Below are 22754 nucleotides of genomic sequence, written 5' to 3' on the forward strand. Positions count from 1 at the left end.
TCTTTGAAAAAATTAATTTTCATTGGCTGTCTCCTCATCATTAATAAGCATGGCTGTGTTACATGCTTAAGACAAATATTAGCAGAGAAGAAGAAAGTCAGACCCGGATAACTTAGCAGCCTGCACTGAGGTGGCACCAGGACTCCCCAGAGGAGAGACGAGGGTCCTTCTGCTCTGAGGTCCAGACTCACCATGGATAAAACAGAGTTGCACCAAATCATCCTTCCCATCTCTCACATTGATTGTTCTCTAAGCTCATTCAGAGAAAAAAAAAATCTTATCTCACAGTATGTCAGGGAGATAAGTCATGTAGAAAAACCTTAAAATATTTTCAGGAAAGCAAATGAGTGCACAAAAAACCTGGTGAAATCTGAGCAAGGTCTGCAGACTAGTTTCTGATATTGTGCCAATGGCAACTTTCCAGTTGTAATCATGAACTATAGTTATGTAAGATACTGCCTGAGGGAGGCGGGGCCATAGGCACAAGGATCTCTCAGTACTATATTTGTAACTTGTTGTGTTTATACTTATTTCAAAACAAAAATTATATGTATATATTTATATATGTATACATGTTATGTTTGCAACACATGTGCCTATATTTGGATACATGTGTCTATTTTAGGAGGACCTAGGATGATGTAACTGCTTTCATACTAGTTAAGAGAATTCCCAAATTTCAGGGAAAGTCTAAAGTTATAGAGTTCCTAACTCAGGGTGCAGAACTCGGACTTTGGCTGATTCTCGTGAGCTCCTGGGATGAGTGGGTGGGACAGAGAGGCTTCTCCACCACCACACTCCTTCCCTGGCTGGAGACCAGATGGTTAAGGACTGATGGGTGCCAGAGAGCAGCAGCCCTCCATGTGGGTCCAGAACCCAGAGGCTGGAGTAGTTCATGCCTGCTCCTGCCTCCCAGGTATTCAAGGGAAACCCACCATCTCCACACACCAGCAAAACACCAGCAAAACAGAGGCCCCAAGTAATGACTTCTCCTTTCTCATCTTATCTTGCCACCTGACCAGCTCCTGGGCTCCTCAATCCAAAGTTGGGGAAGAGAGAAGGGAATGTCAGTGGAAACCACTTTTGCTATAAACTCTCATCCTTCAGATGTTCTTTCAGTGGGTACAGTGTTTAGTGCTGTGCTAGGTGCTGGGGAATCAAGAGTAAATAAGAGGCCATCTTTGCCCTCAGGGAGTTTTTGGTCTCATGGGTTTGGGGCAATGCAGGTCTGTAAACTGGAATTGTAAAAGTGAAGTGGCCCAGGTCCCATTTGTTGTAGTGGTGCACAGAGAGACAGTCTTGAGAGGTGAGGAGACATTTCCCAGAGGAAGTAACATCCAAGTTGAGACTTAGAAGACAGCTGGAAGGATGAGAAAGGAGAATAATTCTGTGGAGTCCTAATTAGGCAAAAGGAATCAGGCTGGTGACACTGAGGAAAAAAGAAAGAGAAAGCAGATAAGCTGTAAGTTTGCCTTTCTTCATGGTCCAGGACCATAGCCCTCCTGCACAAATAGCTCACAATCTTCCTGTGCCCAGCTACCATCAGGCCCTCAGCTGATGGAAAAATGCAGGTTATCCCACTGCAACCTTGGTGTTATCAGTACTGCACAAAGCTCTCTTCAGCACGCAGCAAAAGCAACATCCTATAAAACCCCCAGCAAGCCTTTGTCTCTTGGCATTCAGTTCCTCTCTTGCTGGCCTGCCTGTTGCTGCCTTGCAACATATTTTCATACTTTCTTCAATAAATCTGCCTTTATCTACAACTGTCTTGGTAAATTCTTCTTACTGCCCATGGTATACTGGCCTCAGATAGTTGCTTCACCTGCTACACATTCTTTAAGCAGAAGAAATATATGTGCAGGGTCCCAGAGGCAGGAGGAGCAGACAGATGAGAGGAATTTGGCTAACATGGGGAAATGGTCCAATTGCGCAGGCTTCTCACTCTGTTTCAAGAAGTTTAGACTTCAGCCAAAGAAAGGCAGGGACTACTGTTACTGAAGGCTTTTAAAATCCAAGGGTGGCTTGATCCCTCTGATTGCAGCACAGTGAGGAGGTCATAGGAGGTGAGAGATGAGAGGGGGTGAAAGAAGGCAGTGGAGAAAGAGAAAAAAGAATGGATTAGGGGGATGTTGAGAAAGTAGAATTGACATGATTTTGTGACTCATTGAATGTGGGGAATGAAATCAAGTATGCTGCCTGAATTTCTGGCTTGGACATCTGGTGGACAGTGGATCATTCATTAAGAAGGAATGCATAGGAGGGAATAAGATGAAATTGGCTGGGGACAATGTTATGTTTAGGAACTTGAGAAAACCCAAGTGGAAATTTCCAGAAGGGAGTTGAATATTCTGGTTTAGAACAGGAGTTGGCAAACTATAGCCCATGAAGCAGGCTTATTTTTATAAATCAAGTTTTATTGGAACATGGCCACACCCATTCTTTTACTATTTTCTGTGGCTATATTTGCACCACCTTAGCAGAGTTGAGCAGATGTGACAGAGACAGTACAATGACCAGCAAGCCGATAAAATATTTGTTATCATCGCTTTACAGAAAAAGTTTGCCAATTCCTGGTGTAGAGCCTAGGAAAGAGGTCTGAGCTGGAGATGTGGAATCAGCAGTTGTCAGCAGATAGGTGGGACTGAAGCAATGGGGGTGGACAAGCTTGCTCAGAGAGAAAAAAATAAGCCCTAGGATAAAGCCCTCAACAACACAAGGACCCAGAAGAAGAGAATTCTGTAGAGATGACTGAGAACAGTTAGCCAGAGGGGAAAATTGACAGTGTGAGTCCAGAGAAGCCAGCAAAAGTGAAAATTGTAAAAAGGTGGGAGTGGTCATGGGTACCAAAGACTTGTGAGAAATCAAGTGAGATGTATCCTGTGTATGCCAGAAGGTAAGAGCAAATGAGGCCAACATAACCTTAATAATACCAATCTCAATGGCCCAGACTCCAGCAAAGTCTACTCTAGCTACCGCTACCACTAAACATATGTAAAACTCAGTAAAATAGCAATTTTAATTAAACAAATTCCTGACCTATCTCTGTAATACTCCTTTCCCAACATTTTTGCCTGCATATTCTTTGATTGCCTCTTCAATAATGTTGTAATATCATAGTCTATGAGAGAAGAGAATAATAAACTATTTTGGCTCTAGTATTTTATTATTGATAGATTTAAATTTTTCTTCTGGCTTCATAGCTCAGGATCGATAATGGAAGATAAGTTTTCAGGATTCTTGGCACACTTAGGAAAATCTTTATCAAACTATTTTTATGTATGAACTGTAAGATTTGGAATAATTCCCAGATGGGATGAGCTACACTCTTTTCTAGCTTTGTACATTTCTATTTTTCTTATTCAACTTTTATTTTAAGTTCAGGGATAAAAGTGCAGGGTTGTTACATAGGTAAACATGTGTCATGGGGGTTTGTTGTGCAGATTATTTCATCACCCAGGTATTAAGCCTAGTACTCATTAGTTATTTTTCCTGATGCTGTCTCTCTTCCCATCCTCCAACCCTGATGGGCCCCAGTGTGTGTTGTTCCCCTCGATGTGTCCATGTGTTCTCATCATTTAGCTCCCACTTATAAGTGAGAACATGCGATATTTGGTTTTCTGTTCTTGTGTTAGTTTGCTGAGAATAATGGCCTCCAGCTCCATCCATGTTCCTGCAAATGCACATGTCATGTGACACAATCGTGATGTAATCTATGGTCTTGCATATTTACATTACACCACCAGGTAAATCAGCACGAGGGAGGTGAAGACTATTCTGAATCTGTTTTACACAGGGACAGCTAGCAATAAAATACACAGAAATGACTCCATACCACATAAATAAATCCCATGGAACCCAAACTCAATGACTCAATTCTTCTTTTGCTGGATCCTCAAAATGCCCACATCCACTCCACCACCACCCAACATGAGGGCAGAAAGAGATCAGAATTTTAGCCAATTACAGCTAAAATGTCTGCTTTTGTCAAAAGCAAATGACCAAATGGATACATTGCCAGGGCCCCTCCAGAGCCTCAGAAAGGGCCTGCTGAAGTTGCCTTTTGCTATGGGATGAATCAAACCAAAACACAGTGGCTTAAAATAAGATGAATTATTTTATTTCTGAATTCTGAAGGTCTGCTGGGCTTGGCCAGGTGATTCTCATTCTTGTGGTCTCTTATGAGGTCAGTGGTGGCTAGGGCTGAAACCATCTCAAAGCCTTCCTCACTCACATCTCATGGGTGATCCCAGCTGTTGCTGGAACCTCATCTGGGACTATCGGCCAAAACACTCAGAACTTCTCCATGTGTCTGGGCTTCCTAGAAGACACTGTTCAAGTAGAGGGCAAGACAATCAAGAATCTCAAGCTCTATTTCAAAACATTTCTTCCCACTCCACTACTGCTCTATATATTTTTCACAATACTTTATACCTTCTAACGTAATAGTTATTATAGAGGTACACGTATGTCTTACTATAACATAAACTCCATGAGGGAAGATATTTTTAGTTTTGCTCAATGAAATATCCCCAGTGCCAAGGAAGCACTGCCCTACACATTCATCCAAATAGTAAAATAATAAATATCTATTTTTAAACACTTTGTTAATTCTGCACACATTTACTTTTTCTAAAGGGAGAAATGTGGAACACTGAAAAGCTCCTTGAATCTTAGAATTTGTTTTTAATTAATAGACTTAATACATGGCATAACATGTTGTACTCAACTTACTCTTCATGCAACGTGTAAGCATAAATGCCAAAGATCTTACTTTCAAGCATCAGCATTAATATAGCAAGTTAGGAAGGTAGACGGTTTGGTAATTACAAAAGCTCTTGAAGTAGGCAAAAACCATTGTTTTACATGGTAGCCAAGATCACACTAATGATAAGTATTTCTGGCTTAACCAGTCCTCACAGCAATATGCTAAATTAATGAAAACAAACATGGGCATTGTTTGGGTGTTACTGACATCAACTACAAAACAGAAATGAACAGAAATTGAAAACTATATTGTCAAATACAATTAAAATAGCCAAATACATTTCTAGGTAAAATCTTTATAACTTCAAATACTGCCAGTTTTCTTTCAAAAACTTACAGTACTTGAAAGAACGAAAATCAGCTTAATCCAGCACAGGGGAAAGAAACACATGAGATAACTGAATTTTACAACCAAGGTCAGAGAGGATATCACACTATCACCGTGGGAGGAAGGGTGAGTGGGTAGAAATACCTGTTATTGGTTTTTAAGTAGATCATAGCCAAAGCTAGAGTAGCACCTGGACAAGTCACATCCACATTTATGGTATCTCCTTCCTATTGAAAGAAGAGTTTATGCATGTAAAAGAGTTCTAAATTTTTATAAAATTCCTCTGATAAGTATGCTTAAAATTAACATATTTACCAATGTCAGGATGAACACTAGTATTTTCCAATTAACTTCCCAGCTTCCAGACTTTTGATCTATTACTTTGCTGTGTACTTACTTTGATTTGATAACTTGGTGATTTATGTTTCTCCCTATGCATTCCTGTTTGAAAGCGCCTATGTCCTCCAACCATGTACTGATAGAGCTGCTCAGGCACATTGAGATCAGACATACCTATCAAATTGCTGCCGTGCTGGAAAAGACAATAACAGACGAGTGAAAAGAAATTTTATGGAGGAAGATCCATAACACATACCCATAACAAATATAAAAATGAACTAACTTCAAAGCAGGTTATTTCGGGTTTTGTTTTTTTTATTTCCAACTTAAAGCAAACATTAATCATGAGTTAATAAATATTAATAATTCTCATAAAAGTTTTAATACATGAATGTTCAACTTTAAGTACTGTCTTAAAATACATAAGAGCTTTAGAGTTAGTTACATTTAACAATAAAGAAAAATATTAGTTATATAATTGAAACCTGAACTGTAAATATCTGAATACTTTCATTATTGTACTTAAGAACTTTTCCAACAATAACTATGATAATAATAGTAATTTATTAAATGCATGCTCTGTGTCAGGCACTATTCTGTGTGTTTAACATGAATGAACAGCCATATCAAATAGCTACTATTAAAACCCTATTTTATAAATAAGGAAAGTGTGGCAAAGAGGGATTAAGCCCAAGGTTATACAGCTATTATAGTAAGTTGCAGGGCTATATATAAAACACGGCCATCTGGTTCAACAATCCATGAAGCTGATTAAGCAATAGACAATAATGTAGTTAAATGACTTGACTCACTAGTTAGGACCAGAATTCAAGTTGCAATTCCCTGTGTGATTCCTTTCTTTTTTTTTTGAGACGGAGTCTCGCCTTCTTGCCCAGGCTGGAGTGCAGTGGCACGATCTCGACTCTCTGCAAGCTCCGCCTCCTGGGTTCACACCATTCTCCTGCCTCAGCCTCCCGAGTAGCTGGAACTACAAGCGCCCACCACCATGCCTGGCTAATTTTTTTTGTATTTTTAGTAGAGACGGGGTTTCACCGTGTTAGACAGGATGGTCTGGATCTCCTGACCTCGTGATCCGCCCATCTCGGCCTCCCAAAGTGCTGGGATTACAGGCATGAGCCACCACACCCAGCTGATTATTTTCCATTATACCACCAGCCTCTTTAGCTCACGTGCCAATGTGAATTCAAGGCCCTAATAGATGGTCAACCACGAGGTGGATTTTCAGAACACACATGAGAAAAAATTCCTTCCACTACAACTTTTTTTTTTAAGATGGAGTCTCACTCTTGTTGCCCAGGCTGGAGTGCAATGGTGTGATCTTGATTCATCACAACCTCTGCCTCCTGGGTTCAAGCGATTGTCCTGCCTCAGCCTCCCGAGTAGCTGGGATTACAGGCATGCGCCACCACACCTGGCTAATTCTGTATTTTTAGTAGAGATGGGGTTTCTCCATGTTGGTCAGGTTGGTCTCGAACCCCTGATCTCAGGTGATCCGATCACCTTGCCTTATAACTTTCTTTATATCATTTAGTTTGACCATAAGAATGTATTGGTGGTTTTTCAAGGGGAACCACATTTCAAGTGAAACAATCATTTAATGAAACATTTCTGGTAATTCTGTACACATCTCTTGGATGGAGTTAAAGATGGGTCAATCTGATACTGCATTTTGTCACAAGGAAGATGCTACTGGGACAACATTCTGGGATACACAGTGAACATCACTATGGCAAAAGGGGGTTAGGGTTTGTTTCAAGCAGCTACTATAGACTCTTAAGGCTCCTGATCATATACATTTTCACTATTCTCTGTTTTCAGTCATAGTGGGCTGTCACTTATTCATTCTATGTCTTGAACACTTTAAAAAAAAAACTTTATTCCCTTTAGTTTGTTCATGAACACTGTAAGCTGGAGGAAAAGAAATCTTAAAGTCTCACTCTTGACCACAGTTTCTCTCAATTTGCAAATCTGGTACCTTGAAAAATATCCAAAAAGACAAGAGAGCTGGGCAGAAGATTAAGTCGTAGTAAGGGACAATATTCAGGTTTAGGTGTCAACGTTATTTGTCTCAACATGTAGATGTCCTAACTGAAGCATGGGAAGGCATAGGCTATGCTTACCCCCAAGCAGACCATGCCCAGGGCCAAGCCAGCAGCTAAGGAGTATGACTTTCTGTCAGTGCAGTATTCCATTTCAGGACCAGGAGGCCGTCCTGTAAAAACAAAAGCAACACAGTTCAAACTAGCTTCTCAAAATCTCATCTCATAAAAATCTTAGAGTTAACTTTCTAGCAAGTTGCACTGGAGATACGAATGGGATATAACTATTCAGAAAGTTATGACACTATAATAAATGATGTCCACAACTGTAGGTTTACCTACCAAAAAAAAAGGGCCCAAAATAGTTCTTTTTAAATTGCCAATTTAAGTCTTTATAAGCAATGATATTCAAATACTGTGAAACTTTGAGTCTTATCAAAAAAATTACCAAGTAGTAGAAAAAAATTTTAAAGGAAAAAAGGTAAGAGTATTCAAAAAAAAGTTTTATTATTTTTTTTAAAACATCTCGGCCAGGTGTGCTGGCTCATGCCTGTAATCCCAGCACTTTGGGAGGCTGAGGCAGGTGGATCACTTGAGGTCAGGAGTTGGAGACCAGATGGCCAACATGGTGAAACCCTGTCTCTACTAAAAATACAAAAATTAGCCAGGGTGGCAGGTGCCTGTAATCCCAGCTACTCGGGAGGCTGAGGCAGGAGAATCGCTTGAACCTGGGAGGCGGAGGTTGCAGTGAGCCAAAATCAGGTCACTGCACTCCAGCCTGGGCGACAGAGTGAGACACCATCTCAGCAACAACAACAACAAAATATCTTACATTTTGTTTTCATTACTTTCAAATCCACACATCACATGTGGTGAAACATGTTCGAATGATGATAATGAATAAGGAGGTCACTTACTTACGTTGTTAAGCTGTTAAATACTATGTTTAGACATTTATTTCGAGTGTATATAATAATGAGCCCTACTATGGTAGAATTTCTGTGTACTGATCCTAGAAGTCTGACTGGATACAAAATTCACACTTTTAAAAGCACCCTATAACTCTAACACTACCTTGTTGAAAACGACAAAATGTACTATGTATTAAAACCCTTCCCTCTGAAAAAATGTTCACATTCCTGAAATTTTATCCCTATAGGAAAAAAATGCAATTTAAAAAAAAAGAAAAAAGGCTGGGCGTGGTGGCCCTTGCCTGTAATCCCAGCACTTTGGGAGGCCAAGGCAGGTGGATCACTTGAGGTCAACGAGTTCGAGACCAGCCTGTCTGACATGGAGAAATCCCATCTCTACTAAAACTACAAAAATTAGCCAGGCATGCTGACAGACACCTGTAATCCCAGCTACTTGGTAGGCTGAGGCAGGAGAATTGCTTGAACCTGGGAGGCAGAGGCTGCAGTGAACCGAGATCGCGCCACTCCGCTCCAGCCTGGGTGACAGAGCGAGACTCTGTCTCTAAATAAATAAATAAATAATAAAAATTAAAGAAAAAATCACACACAAAGGTAATCAGTGTAATGTTTATACATAACAACAAAGGATTATTAGAAACAATCTAAAAGGTTCTAAAAGTTAAAAAAAGGCATTTTACAGACCATCAACTCAATGAATATTATACAAAATGTGTTTTAAAACCCATTTATAACAATGATCTATAAAAACAATTTTTAGGCTGGGCACGGTGGCTCACGCCTGCAATCCCAGCACTTTGGGAGGCTGAGACAGGCGGATCACAAGGTCAGGAGATCCAGACTATCCTGGCTAACACCATGAAACCCTGTCTCTACTAAAAATACACAATAATTAGCCAGGCGTAGTGGCGGGCGCCTGTAGTCCCAGCTACTCGGAAGGCTGAGGCAGGAGAATGGCGTGAACCCGGGAGGCGGAGCTTGCAATGAGCCAAGATTGCACCACTATACTCCAGGCTGGGCAACAGAGCAAGACTCTCTCAAAAAAAAAAAAAATTTTTTTTAATGTACATTCTGACAGTAATTATATAAAAAGGCATATACATATGAATTAAAGATGAAATCTTCTATATACAGTGTGAAAGAGGTATGCCGCAGCTGTGAGACTGTGCAATGACACCATTAGACATCATCATGATATAGCCAAAGAAGGGTAGACTACTTTGCAGATGAACATGCTTTAACAACCAGTGTTGAATATTTTCAGAATAAGCGTTTTTCAGATCTCTGACTTATGCTACCATGTATTGTGATAGCCAAAACATTTCAACTTTGGGAATAATTTCATTTATCATTATAGTAGACTAAATTATGGGTCCCAATCTTCACTGGTTCTCTCCTAGGTTTCTATCAACACCACGAGAGAAACACACCCTCCAGCCTGGGTCCCAGAATGAGGCAGGTGAGGCAGAACGGCAGCAGAACAGCCGGCTACACATCTACAGCCTAAAGCAGAGCTGCCTGGGCCAATGCTATGCCTGTATGTATGTAGCATCACTGTGGCAATAGCTATCTGATACAATGATACTAAAGAATAATACATCTTTAACAATATATTCACAAATCCATATAGAAAAGATCTTGAATAGGACATATAAGTATGTAACTAAATTGTTGAGCATATTAATAATGCCAATAGCATTTCCATTTGGCAGAAAAAGATGACAACACATTAAGATTTCCAAAAAGTTTGGACCCAATAAAAAACAGAGACAATGTTCACTAAAGTGAGTGTGTGGACCTTACCATTTCCAGGTTCATCACCAACATACCCACCAGCATGTAAAGGAGGAAAGCAGGAGTCCATTACTTGACTTCTATTGGAAGTGCTGTTATCCAACACAGTAAACACTGTGATGTGTTTAGTTTAGTGTCTCTCAGGGACCAAAACAATCTACTCTGAGTTTTAAGTGCAGGCCACTGCTAGACACTGCTGGTAAAGCCGGATAAACAGCATACTCATAGCTGATTAAAACCACAGGTACCTCATTAAATGTGACCACTGGAATTCAGTAATGAGCTAGCAAATAAACATGGAGGTTAATAACCTGCAGTTACATTAGCCTTGGATAACATTACTTAGAGTTTTGTTGTTTTTTTTAATTAGTACTAGATCATTCTTTGCTCACAAAAGCTACCATTGTCTTTCCTTAATTTTTATAATTTTACTATTTAATTGGGTTAATGTGGAGTGGAGAGTACATGCCTATGAAGATTCAGCACTATTAATCCCATACCTATCTCAGCCAACAGGACTTCTGCAGTATGTCTGTGAGCTGTCCCTTGATATACAAGGCCAATGCCAACCACTGCAGCCACTTGGACATTGTGAGGAACATCCAGCTCTGTGGACGTTGGGGGTAAGAGAGCAGGAATGCGAATGCTAAGAAGCCGAGTAATAGACATATCCATGGTGCCTAGTTTTGCAGCAGAAACACCAAGTAGCAGTCCAATGCTTGTCATTTCATGGCCCTAAGATAGAAACAAAACAAATACATAGTTTAAAATAAAATACTGCCTGCCACTTTCAAGAAGTACTTTTATGTTGACAGGCAAGGTGAGAGGCACTGAGAATACAGCAGTAAACTAAACAAACATGGTCCTTGCTCTCATGGACCTAATGACTTAATAGGAAAAAAAGTGTTAAATTAAAAAACATAAACAAATATATTATTAAAAAGTAGTACAATAAGAAAGTACAAAGTATTATGAAAGAGTATTTTAAAATAGCTTAATTTAGATTGGGAGGGACTAGAGGATTATTAGGGATGAAATCTCTAAAGATTATACAAAGAAATTTATATTAGGACCTGAAGGATGAAAACAAATTAGCCAGGAACAGTGGCAGGAAAGAGGACACTCAAGTTTAGAAGGTGAGGAAGACTGTTTCAGGTGATAAAACAGCATGTAAATAAATGGCTCTGAGGCGATTCAGAAATGAACCCTCACATTAACATCAACTGACCACAAGGGTGCCAAGACAATTCAACAGGTAAAGGGCAGTCTTCAAAAAACAGTGCTGGGACAAGTGGAAGGACACATTCAAAAGAATGAGGCTGGACTCAACACAATATAACAAGTGTTGGCAAAAATATGGAGAGATTGGAACTCTCATGTATTGCTGATGGGGTTGTATAATGGTGCAGTCATTATGGAAAACAGTTTACAGTTCCTCAAAAAGTTTAACAGAGTTACCATATAACCCAGCAATTCCACTCCTAAGTATGTACCACTACTTACCATTACTTCATTACTCTTGAGTAATGAAAACATACATCCGCACAAAAACATGTATACAAATGTTCATAGCAGTATTATTCGTAATAGCTAAAAAGTACAAATAACCCAAATGTTCATCAACTTATGAATAAAATGTACATTCATAAAATAAAACATTTATTCAACAATAAAAAGGAATGTATTGCTGATAGATGGTACAACATGGATGAACCCTAAAATTATCAGGCTAAGTGAAAGAAGCCCATCCTAAAATACCATATTTTGTATGACTCCGTTCATATGAAAGGTCCAGAAAAGGCAAACCCATAGACACGGAAAGTAGATTAGTGGTTGGCAGGAAGTGAAGTGAAGGTGGGGGGGTGAGGTAGAGGAATGGGGAGTCACCACTAGTGGGTACAAGGTTCCTTTATGGGGTGAAAAGATGTTCTAAAATTAACAGTGGTGATGGATGCACAACTCTGTGAATGTACTAAAAACCACTGTACCACACACTTTAAACAGTGAATTGTATGGTATGTGAATTTTATATATTTATATAAATAAAGATTCCTTAAAAAAAAAATAACGCTGTGAAGTGAAAGAGTTTAGTTTGCCAGAGAGCTAAAATAGCCAATCTGTATGGTTAGAGTGTGGGGGAGCAAGAAGAGTGGGGCTGGGTGCAGAGGCTCACGCCTATAATCCCAGCACTTTGGGAGGCTGAAGCGGGCAGATCACCTGAGATCAGGAGTTCAAGACCAGCCTGGCCAACATGGTGAAACCCTGTTTCCATCAAAAATACAAAAATTACGCAGGTGTGGTAGTGTGCACCTGTAATCCCAGCTACTCAGAAGGCTGAGGCAGGAGAATTGCTTGAACCTGGGAGGTAGAGGTTGCAGTGAGACGAGATCACACCACTGCACTCCAGCCTAGGTGACAGGGTGAGACTCCACATCAAAAAAAAAAAAAAAAAAAAAAAAAAAACGAAGAACAGTGGTACCACCTAGGGCTGGAGAAGTGAACAGGATCACACCAGCTCCTAGAATGTATATTAAGAGCAATGGTCGATCCCCCTTTGCCCTCTGGTGTTGGGAATTTTGGCCTTGTTCTAAACCAGTTTCCCTTCACAGAAGTTCAGCCATCGTGTGGGATCAGAATAAGGTCCTGGGGCAACTAAAGGTATCTGGCCAAGGGTACATCCGAAGGACCCTACACCGGCCCCCAGTCCCCAACAGCCTGTTCAGGTGTCGGACAAAGACTTCCAATCTTTCCTATCATGTTTTTCCTACTGCTCTTCTGAGAAATGTTACTTAGTTATGTGTCTCTTTGAGAAATTGCTTCTTTTCAGGGCAGGATGCTGGGTTATGCTTGATGAAGCTAAATAAACTGCCAGCCAGATGAGAATTATAGACAAATAATATGCAGGGACCCCCCCGGATTCATCTTAGTCTTGAGCTCATATAGAATTCAGAGAAATCAAAGGCAGTTGACAAGGAGGGTCAAGGCTGAGTGCAAGTGAACGCAACTACTCCTGCTGGCTTGATCCCCCCCTGGTCATGAATGGTGGCTGCGCGCACATCCACGACCAAGGTAAGCCTGAGAGACGCCTTGGACTCTAGCACAGCAGAGGGAAAGACTAAGGATGCCTTTTTCTCCCCTCTCTCTTTCTAAATGGGTAGCCTGCACTCCTCTCAAGTGCGAGACATTGGGACTCCTTTGATCCTCAGACTCTGAAGAAAAAATACCTGGTATTTATCAGTAGCAAGGCTTGGCCCAGCTAGAAGTTGGAAGATGGGGAGACCTAGTCAGCTGGGGAAAATAACAACTATAATACTATCCTATAGCTAGATCTCTTCAACCACAGAGAAGGAAAATGGTCCAAAATTCCATATGTATAGGCCTTTTTTGCCCTGCAGAATAACCGCAAGCTCTGTCAGCAATGTATAATAGACCTTGCACTTATAGCAGTGATATCCAGCCAGACTTAATCCAGACAGAAGGGAAAAAACAGTCTGCCTCCTTAGAAGAGGAGACAGAGGCCCCTGCACCAGCCCAGGTCCCAGCTCCTCTTGGATCATCTCGTCCCCCTTATCCAGGCCCCCTTTTGAACCTCATCCTGTTAGAAGAGTTCGACCTGGATGCGCTCCAGCATCACTTCTTCCTTTACAGGAAATGCATAGTGAATATGGTCCTATCAAAGTACAAGTCCCCTTTTCTTTACAAGATTTGAGGCAGATAAAAAGAAATCTAGGACAATTGTGTCGACCTGGATAGGTATATTGAAGCCTTTCAGAACCTTAATCAAATGTCTGAGCTTTCATGGAAGGGTATCATGTTACTTCTCAACTAGACTCTTAGAGCTTCAGAGAAGCAGGCGGCTTTACAGGTCACTGAGACATTTGGAGATGAAATGTTTATCTTATTATGGCACCTACCAAAAGGGGGAAGAAATTAGGGAGCCCTTTCTGACAGCCAAGCAGGCAGCATCCACCAATAATCCTCAATGGGACTCAGACACTGCTCTAGGAAAGTGGCCGAGAAAACATTTTTAGGGATGCACAGTGGAAGATCTGAAAACTAGAGGCAAATCTCTCAATTACATTAAGTTATCAACCATAAACCAAGGGTCTGAAGAGAACCCTTCTGTTTTCCTGGAAAAAACTGAGAGAGGCTTTAATTAAACACACATCTCTCTCCTGACTCTATAAAAGGATAGTTAATTTTGAAAGACAAGTTTATAACCCAAGCAGCCCCAAATATTGGAAGAATGCTGCAAAAAGTTAGCTATTGCACCAGACAGTACTCTAAAGAAAATCCTGAAAGTCACCACCTTGGTCTTTTATAATCGGGACCATGAGGAAGCCCAAGAAAAAGGGAGAAAAGGAACGAGAAAAAGGCAGAGGCACTAATAGCTGCCATACAGGCATATAAACCTCTCGATCCCAGGGAGCTTCTCATTCTATGACCGACTGTTATCAGTGTGGGAGCACTAAAAGAGAGTCTGCCCCCGAAATCAGAAGCAGCCCCCACGGCCCTGTCCAATCTGTAAGGGAGACTACTGGAAGACAAACTGCCTCCAGAAACATACGTCCCAAGGTTCAGAGCCGGCTTCTCAAATGGTCCAGCAGGACTGATGGGTCCCAGGGCTCTCCTCCCCAGCTCTGACAGCCCAGGCTGCATTACCATCCAGGAGTCCCGGGTGAGTCTGGAGGTCAAAGGACTCAGAGGACAGACTTCCTACTCAACACCAGAGCAGCCATTCCTGTTCTCCTCTCCATTCTGGGCCTCCCCTCCTCCCTTAGCACAACTGTGAGGGGCGTCTCAGGAAAGCCTCTGACTCGATATTTTTCTCAATCCCTTAGCTGTACCTAGGGAGACCTTTCGTTTACCTATGCCTTTTTAATCATACCTGAAAGCCCGACTCCTCTGAGGTAGGGATATTTTAGCTCACATGGGAACCACCATCCTTATGGCTCCAGGACAGACTCTTTGCCTCCCTCTGGTGGAGACTGATATTAATCCAGGTGTTTGGGCAATTCAGGAAAATACTGGCTGAGCTACAACAGTCTCACCAGTCCAAATCCATCTCAGGGATCTCATCTCCTTCCCTAATTAAAGACAATATCCCCTAAAACCAGAAGCTAGGAAACAACTAGAAGCCATCATTAATAACCTAAGGATGCAGGGCCTTGTTAAACCCTGTGACAGTCCTTGTAATATCCTAATATTGGAAGTACAGAAAGAAACCCAACAGGGAATGGAGACTGGTCCAGGATCTCCACCTCCTTAATGAGTAACTGGTGTAATTAACCAATTTACCCAGTGGTTCCCAATCCCTATACTTTGTTAACTTAGATACCTGAAGGAACTAAATGGTTTGCATTCTTGGAATTAAAAGATGCTTTTTTTCTGCATACCATTATACCCCAACTCCCAAAACTTGTTTGCATTCAGGGATCCCTCCAACCAGACTACCCAGCTAACCTGGATGGTGTTACCACAGGGATTCCAAGACAGCCCCCACCTGTTTGGGCAGGCAATCTCAAAAAGATCTCTCTGAGTTCTTTCAAACTCAAGTTAGTCTTAATATGTAGATTACACTCTACTCTGTGCCCCAACTGAGGAAATTTCTCAGAAAAGCAATAAGGCTCTTCTTAATTTTCTAACTGACAGAGGACATAAAGTTTCAAAGTCCAAGGCTCAACTCCGTCAGACTTCAGTGAAGTACCTATGCCTGGTCTTGTCAGAAGGGACCAGGACACTGGGCGAGGAGAGAATTGGATCCATTTTCTCCTTCCTTCTCCCCAAGACCCTCAGCTAACTAAAGGGATTATCAGGCATTACTGGATTCTGCAGCCTATGGATCAGAAATCTAATTAAAAGCATTGCAATGCCTAATTATAACATATCTAATAATCTAGGGGGACATGCCCATGACAACCCTATTTTGCAAAATCCTGGAATAGAACAGTCCATTTTCAGAGGTTTTCTTCCTGTCCTTTCTAGGTGTCCCTAATATATGGGCATGGATTTTCCCCCTTTTAGTTCCTCTTTGTGTTCTCATTGTAATACTCATATTTGGTCCATGTGTACTTAACCTCCTTGTAAAATTTGTTTTTTCTCGCCTAGAGGCCATCAAACTCCAAGTGGTCATGCAAATGGAACCTCGGTTGATGGCTCTCTTTTACCAGGGGACACTTAGATAGGCCTCTAAGAGAGACCTGACTGCTGTTTCCCAAAACAACACCCTCTGTCAGCATGAAGCAGAACAGTCATCACCCCTATCCGAACAGCAGTTAGATATACCTCTTCAGAGCGGGGATTGATGGCGGTAGGAGGCAGGTAAATTCTCAGATGAAACTCAACCTTCAAGCCAAGGACAGTCGAAAGCCTGAAAACCAAGCTACAAGTTCTGGATAAATCCATGGACTAGAGAGCTCTCATTCCTGTTTGGCATGCTCTCTCCTGATTGGTCCTTATCCTTCACCTACTTTACATATACCTGCCCTTCCCCAGTTGGTCCTCTACACTATCGTGCCTATTTCTAAATGGTGCTTTTTCAAGCATACCCACAGACCAATCAGCATGCACTTCCCCCATTTCAAGCCCATAAAAACCTCTAGACTCAGCCTCGTGGCTGGCAACCCACCTTCGGGTCCCCTCTCGCTGTTGAGAGCTTTCTTGTCACTCATTAAATTCTACTCTGCCTTACTCAGGGAAAAAAAAAAAAAAAAAAAGCAATGGGAGATCATTAATTAAATGGCTTTGACCAGGGAAGTGACATACTCTGATTTATGCTTTAGAAAGATTATTCCATGTACTATGAGACAAATGGACTTAGAAGTACAAGAATGAAGAAAGAAGAGCAAATAGAGCAATTAGGAGCTACTACAATAGCCAGCCAAGGCACAAAGCCAGGCACTGGGAGCACAGGTCTCACCTTGGTCAAGTAGTCATGGATATTGAGAGTCGCCAGCTTGGTAAGGTGCCCATTCAAACCCAGAGCCATGAGAAAGCCAGCATACTCATTGGCCAACTCAGCATGCTTGGGCTTATTGTAAACAATCCAAGCTGAGTCGATCTGGGAGGCAGGAGCTATCTTCAGGCCAGCAGCCACACCATTATGAAAGCTGGCCCAGCTTGTCATGTTGGGAGGCACATCGATGTTTCCACTATTAAGGTCTACTGTTGTGTTCCGAGGAGGGGCACGCCCTATCCAGCCAAACGAAGAACATTGAGAGAATAAAAATCCACAAAACCAAGATTGTTAAATTTAGATCTTTGAGACTAAGATTACTTACGTTTTCTACATTCAAAACCATTAACCCCATAATGCCTGGAACGTTAGGTCTCTATGACCACTTAAAACTTTTGTACATGTGAGTCAAACTTAATGGAACTGGAAAAACCTTCACTGTCTAAACAGTTCATTGTCCTTTTTGTTAAAATGTATGAGGCTATATAATGAGATAACTGATACCAATTTAACATTATACAGAGATGACTGGGATAATCACTCATTTTTTCTTTCAAACAGAGAGCTTAAAAACCAAAGTGAAGACTAACATCACTGTTAAACTATACAAGTTATAAATCCCAACATCTGATGACACTGATGTTAATTTCAAATGTTCTATCCTATATTTTCCCCTAGACATTAAGGAAAAATGACATCTTAAGAAAAGACAAAAGCCAGGCCTGGTGGTGCGTGCCTGTCCCAGCTACTTGGGAGGCTAAGGCATGAGAATCACTTGAACCTGGGAGGCAGAGGTTGCAGTGAGCCAAGATCATGCCATTGCACTCCCACCTGGGCAGCAGACAGAGACTGCATCTCAAAAAAGAAAAAAAAAAAGGAAACAAGAACCTTAATAAATCTGCTACAGGTCTTACCTATATATGCCCCCTTCTCTCTCTTTTTTTCTCTCTCTCTCTATATATACATACAGATATAGATATCTAATTATATGCTATCGTTTAAAATGCTTAGAGATAGTTTTGTAAAAAGCATCCTTTTATAGACTTGAGTCACCCAGGGAACTTCAAAAGGGCATTCACCAGATTATACTTTTACGGTCCATTTATTTAAGAACAATGTAAATTATATGTTCACAATGCTATATGTTCCCTACGAATTTTTTCTTGATTCTTTTCTTTTTGATCTACATTATACACAGCAAACATTGAATCTTTTTAAATATATTTTGAATATTGTCTTAAGTCATGGATAAAATAATTAACATAAATATTTTAATTACTGCATAAAGTTATCCATTTCACTGCAGCTTTAAAAATACCATTTTTAAAGAGTTCTAAGATGTTATGTAAAATAAATTTTAAGTAGATGCAAAGTGTCTTATTTGTAGCATGTACACATACACACACAAAGCACAAAGTAAGACTTATTTGTCTTTACTATATGCTTTTTGTACCTAAAAGCTAACTCAACTGCTAGTGTTAGCACCACAATGAGTAATAAGTTCATAAGTTACACTTGTACTTTCTCAAAAAAGGCAGACATATCAATATGAAAAAACTGAGTGACCTTTCTGAAACATTCATTCATCATATGCAAGAGACATAATATTTATACACGAGAGAAAATAAAATGCAAAGGGTAAGGTAAATTTTCTTCAATGAGAATAACAACATACAAAAGTACAACAGGCCACATCAGTGTGGGTTAAGCAACTATTTAAGAAAATATTCTTTCCTAAATTAAGAGGATAACCTTTCTTTTTGGCCTACCAGAATGACTAAAAGAATAAAATGTTGGATTAATGTCATAAACACATTTTAAATCATGCAAATTCAATTAAATGTATTCAGAAAAAAAGATGCATGTATATATTTTTTAAACCCACCCAAGTATCACTTGAGTGCTAAATCACCCAGATTGAATACATTTTAACATTTGCCAATTTTGCATTAGATTTTCTTTTTAATCTGCACTTAGTATATGAAATCTTTCATATAAACAGTTGGAAAGACTACTAAAATGAACATCTATATACCATGCCTTCCATCAAGAATCAATAATTGTTAAAATTTTGCCATAGGTGCTTTACCTCTGAGACAATTTAAATATTAAAAGCCACTCTGCTCACTATGTCCCTCAGTGAGATTAGGGCTCAGAATAAGCATGGTATGGAGATGGGAATGTGTTCTTTCACTTAGTCAATCTCATTTCCTGCATGCTGCTCAAAGCACAAGCTTTTCACAAATCTGAGTGGAACTCTGGATTTTTTAAAGTATGCAATTTAAAATACTGTATAATTATGTTTGCATATATTATGTACTATTTATCATATATTAAATTATACATTATATGCTACCACATATACTATACACTACTACAACATACATTATACATACATTTTGTATAGGTTTCACAAAACCATATATACTATAATAGAGTTTCAGTGATAATTTCAACTATGTAATTGTCACCTTTAGAACACATTCAAATCAGCATTAGGGGGACATGCACTATAAAATTCATTGTAATCAAGATTATAACTACAGTTATATATGGCAGAAATAAAAACTTGTGCCAGCCAGAAAGGCAATTTGACATGTTCCTTAAAACCATTCATCTTGCTGTCCTAAGAGTTCTACTTCTAAGCATTTAGCCTAAATACACAGGACGAATACGCCCCAACAATGTTTATAATACCAAAAAACTGTAATTTCCAACAATACCAGGCTGCTTCTATAAACTATGGTATATCCGCTGAATGAAATACTCTGAAGCAAATAAAAATGAATGTATTGATTAAAAACACGTGTATACAATACATACACATAATTATAAACACATACATTTATTTGCTAGATATAAAAGGATGTTCACTGTAAATTTTTAAAAAAATCTAAAATAGATATAAATTTTCTGATAATTAAACAAATATAAAATTATAAATATGTGGAAATAAACTTAGTAAACATATATACTAAAATGTTAAAAGGAGTGATGCAGAAGAGTGGGAGTACTGCAAGTGACCATTGTTTCTCTTTTTGCTTAGTACATTTCTTGATTTATACAATGATCATCTGTTTAAACTATGACGTAAGACATTTTAAAACTAAATATTTTTACATATTAAACTTAAGATTATTTAAAATTCAAGTCTCATCGTTATCAATAATATCTTTCTGAACTTCTCCAAGTGACTTTTTAGATCTTGAAATCACCTCATTAAAAAGCAAAAATGAGTAATGAACTATATTCTGCTTCTCTCAAAGTTTAGTTTCACATGGCATTTGAGCTTTGATAACCACTACAGCAGCTATTAGGAAAATTTTAAATCACTGGGGATAGAGGGAGCATTTCTTTTGTTTTAACTAATTTAAAGAACTACACTTAATGCATGTACTTAATCATTTTCCTTTCTCATTGAGCCCAGAATTTAACATACCAGTCAGATTCAATTTAGGAATAGGCAATGGCTCTGTTGGAACAGGATGGTACGAAAACAAGGTAAACATTCCTCGTCCTACAGGAAGAGCCATAGTTCGCTGACACAATTGGAGCAATCTGTAATTAAAGTAAAAACCAACATGTGAAAATGTTTAAAGCAAAGAGCAATTGAAATATCATCTGTAAGTATTTCAAAAGAAGGTGTACTGTATAAGATGAAGTTGTCTCAAAGTAAATTCATACACAGATGTGAGTGAACTACCCAAACATGATTATTTTCATTTTAATATTCTTGTTCCTATTACACTCTTAGGGAGAGACATATTTCCTCTGTTTTGTTTCATATTTACATTGAATGAAAACCACCTGGCCTATAAACCAAGCCGACTCTCTCTAGGCATTCAAAAAAAAAAAAGAAATTTAAAATTCCACTCCGATGGATGCTAACCTTCTCAAAGGAAAATACAGTACTTTTGGGGTTTTTATCACTGTGTTAATTTCAGTCTAGCTGTCCTCAGTACATGTGGGATCCTCCTCCCATCCCTTTTGCCAATACAGCCTCAGAAGTACCATTTCTGTGGCCTGTACACAAGAAAAGAAACAAGGTCCTTGTGTTAGAGGTGAATGGATTTCATGGTGTCTCCAAGGGAAATACAGATTGGTTTCACTTACATGATGGCTAGATTTATAGGACTAATACCATTATGTATCAGGTATGTTCAAGGTTAAAATGGTTTCTGTTGGCTCTACTGTGAAATTAATACACCACTCTTCAACTTCTTCCTATGTTAAAATAGCTTAACATTCCATATAGCCACTTAAAAAAAACTAACAGAAATTTTGGAAGTAGGGCATTTATAACTAAGAAACGCCTATACAAGCTATATCTGAAGACACAGAAATATCCCTTCAGAGGCTGACAACTGACAAACATTTTCTCTGCAGACAAAGCTATTCATAAGCATACACCCTCCTTAACTGGACACACATAACTGCTTTTCTAGCTAACTGGAAAGAAAAATTTTGCTGTCTTAAAGATTCTCTGGGAACACAACCGCAACATTAATTTGGGATCAGGAAAATTCAAAGCCAAGAGTCTGTTGCAACCCATAGAATTTTTTTAGAGGAAATCTTACACATAATTCACTTCAACTTTGCACAAGTAACAAAATTATAATGAGAACAATATTATATCCCCTGAATATAAGATGCCACTCATAAGATGTATCATTATTTCATGAGAAACTAAGAAAGAAAAAGCACTGCCAATTAAACTATGACGCCTGTTCACTGAAATACACAACTGATTTCAGAGATATTAAAAAGTGAAAAAACTTGCATCTTAGAATCAATGAACTCTACTACTAATAATGGCTGACTGCACTGAGCTTTACTATGTATTGAGCAGTATTCTAAGTGCTATGTAAAAATAATTCACTTGATACACAGCACCATCCCATGAAGTATGCCTACTTTTACAAATGAAGAAACTGAGGCAACAAGAGGTAAAGTAATTTAACCAAAGTCACCCAGCACAGCATGGCCATGCCTGGCTCTAGAGGCCATGCTCATAAATCCTATGCTCTAAACTCAACTTCTGTCACTCCATCTTTTTATTCACAGGTGACTAATAACTGGGTACATGTGGAGAGGAAACAGTTAATAGGGAAATCACAACTAATTCAGATCTTCAGCAGCCTGTGGCTAAGTGTGGGTGATGGTTCCCCTCAAAACAGTACCATAAAAAAAGTAAAGAGAACTAGAAAACAGTGGCAGATGAATGATAGATGATAGAGACAAGCAGATAAAAGAACAGGAGAGAATTTTAAAACAGAAGTGTCCCAAGAGAATAGCTCTGGAATGTCATAGGCATGTGAGTCTTATAATGTATCAAGGGATGTATCCTGTGCAGGGGAGTGGCAGAAGAAAGGCTTATCTATTTTTATTTGGAGTATCATCTATCATATCCAAAAAAAAAAAAATACTCATATAAGTTTAAACTACACTAAAAACCCCACTAACCTCAAAATCTATTCCTGATCAAGACACAGAAAAACAAGTCCAGTGTTTTCTTTGTTTGTAAATTCTTAAGGTAACTATCAGGCAAAATAGTTTTACATTCACCTTTTCTAAAGAGTAAAGTG

At 39.4% G+C, this 22754-nt stretch overlaps 1 pseudogene across 1 annotated transcript in view; it reads right to left on the reverse strand.

Annotated features, from left to right (window-relative positions):
• Positions 1-4095: 4095 nt before the first annotated feature.
• Positions 4096-22754, reverse strand: part of ANAPC1P2 (ANAPC1 pseudogene 2) — a 45739-nt pseudogene continuing 27080 nt past the window's right edge. The window contains exons 5-11 of the transcript NR_026846.1: positions 20609-20727; positions 17134-17405; positions 10715-10949; positions 7573-7664; positions 5490-5624; positions 5237-5319; positions 4096-4328 (exon numbers count right to left, since the gene is read on the reverse strand). The product of NR_026846.1 is annotated as an ANAPC1 pseudogene 2 (transcript). The remainder of the gene's footprint in view (positions 4329-5236; positions 5320-5489; positions 5625-7572; positions 7665-10714; positions 10950-17133; positions 17406-20608; positions 20728-22754) is intronic.

Source organism: Homo sapiens, chromosome 2 (assembly GCF_000001405.40).
Source record: "Homo sapiens chromosome 2, GRCh38.p14 Primary Assembly".
In the NCBI taxonomy this organism is placed as follows: Eukaryota; Metazoa; Chordata; class Mammalia; order Primates; family Hominidae; genus Homo; species Homo sapiens.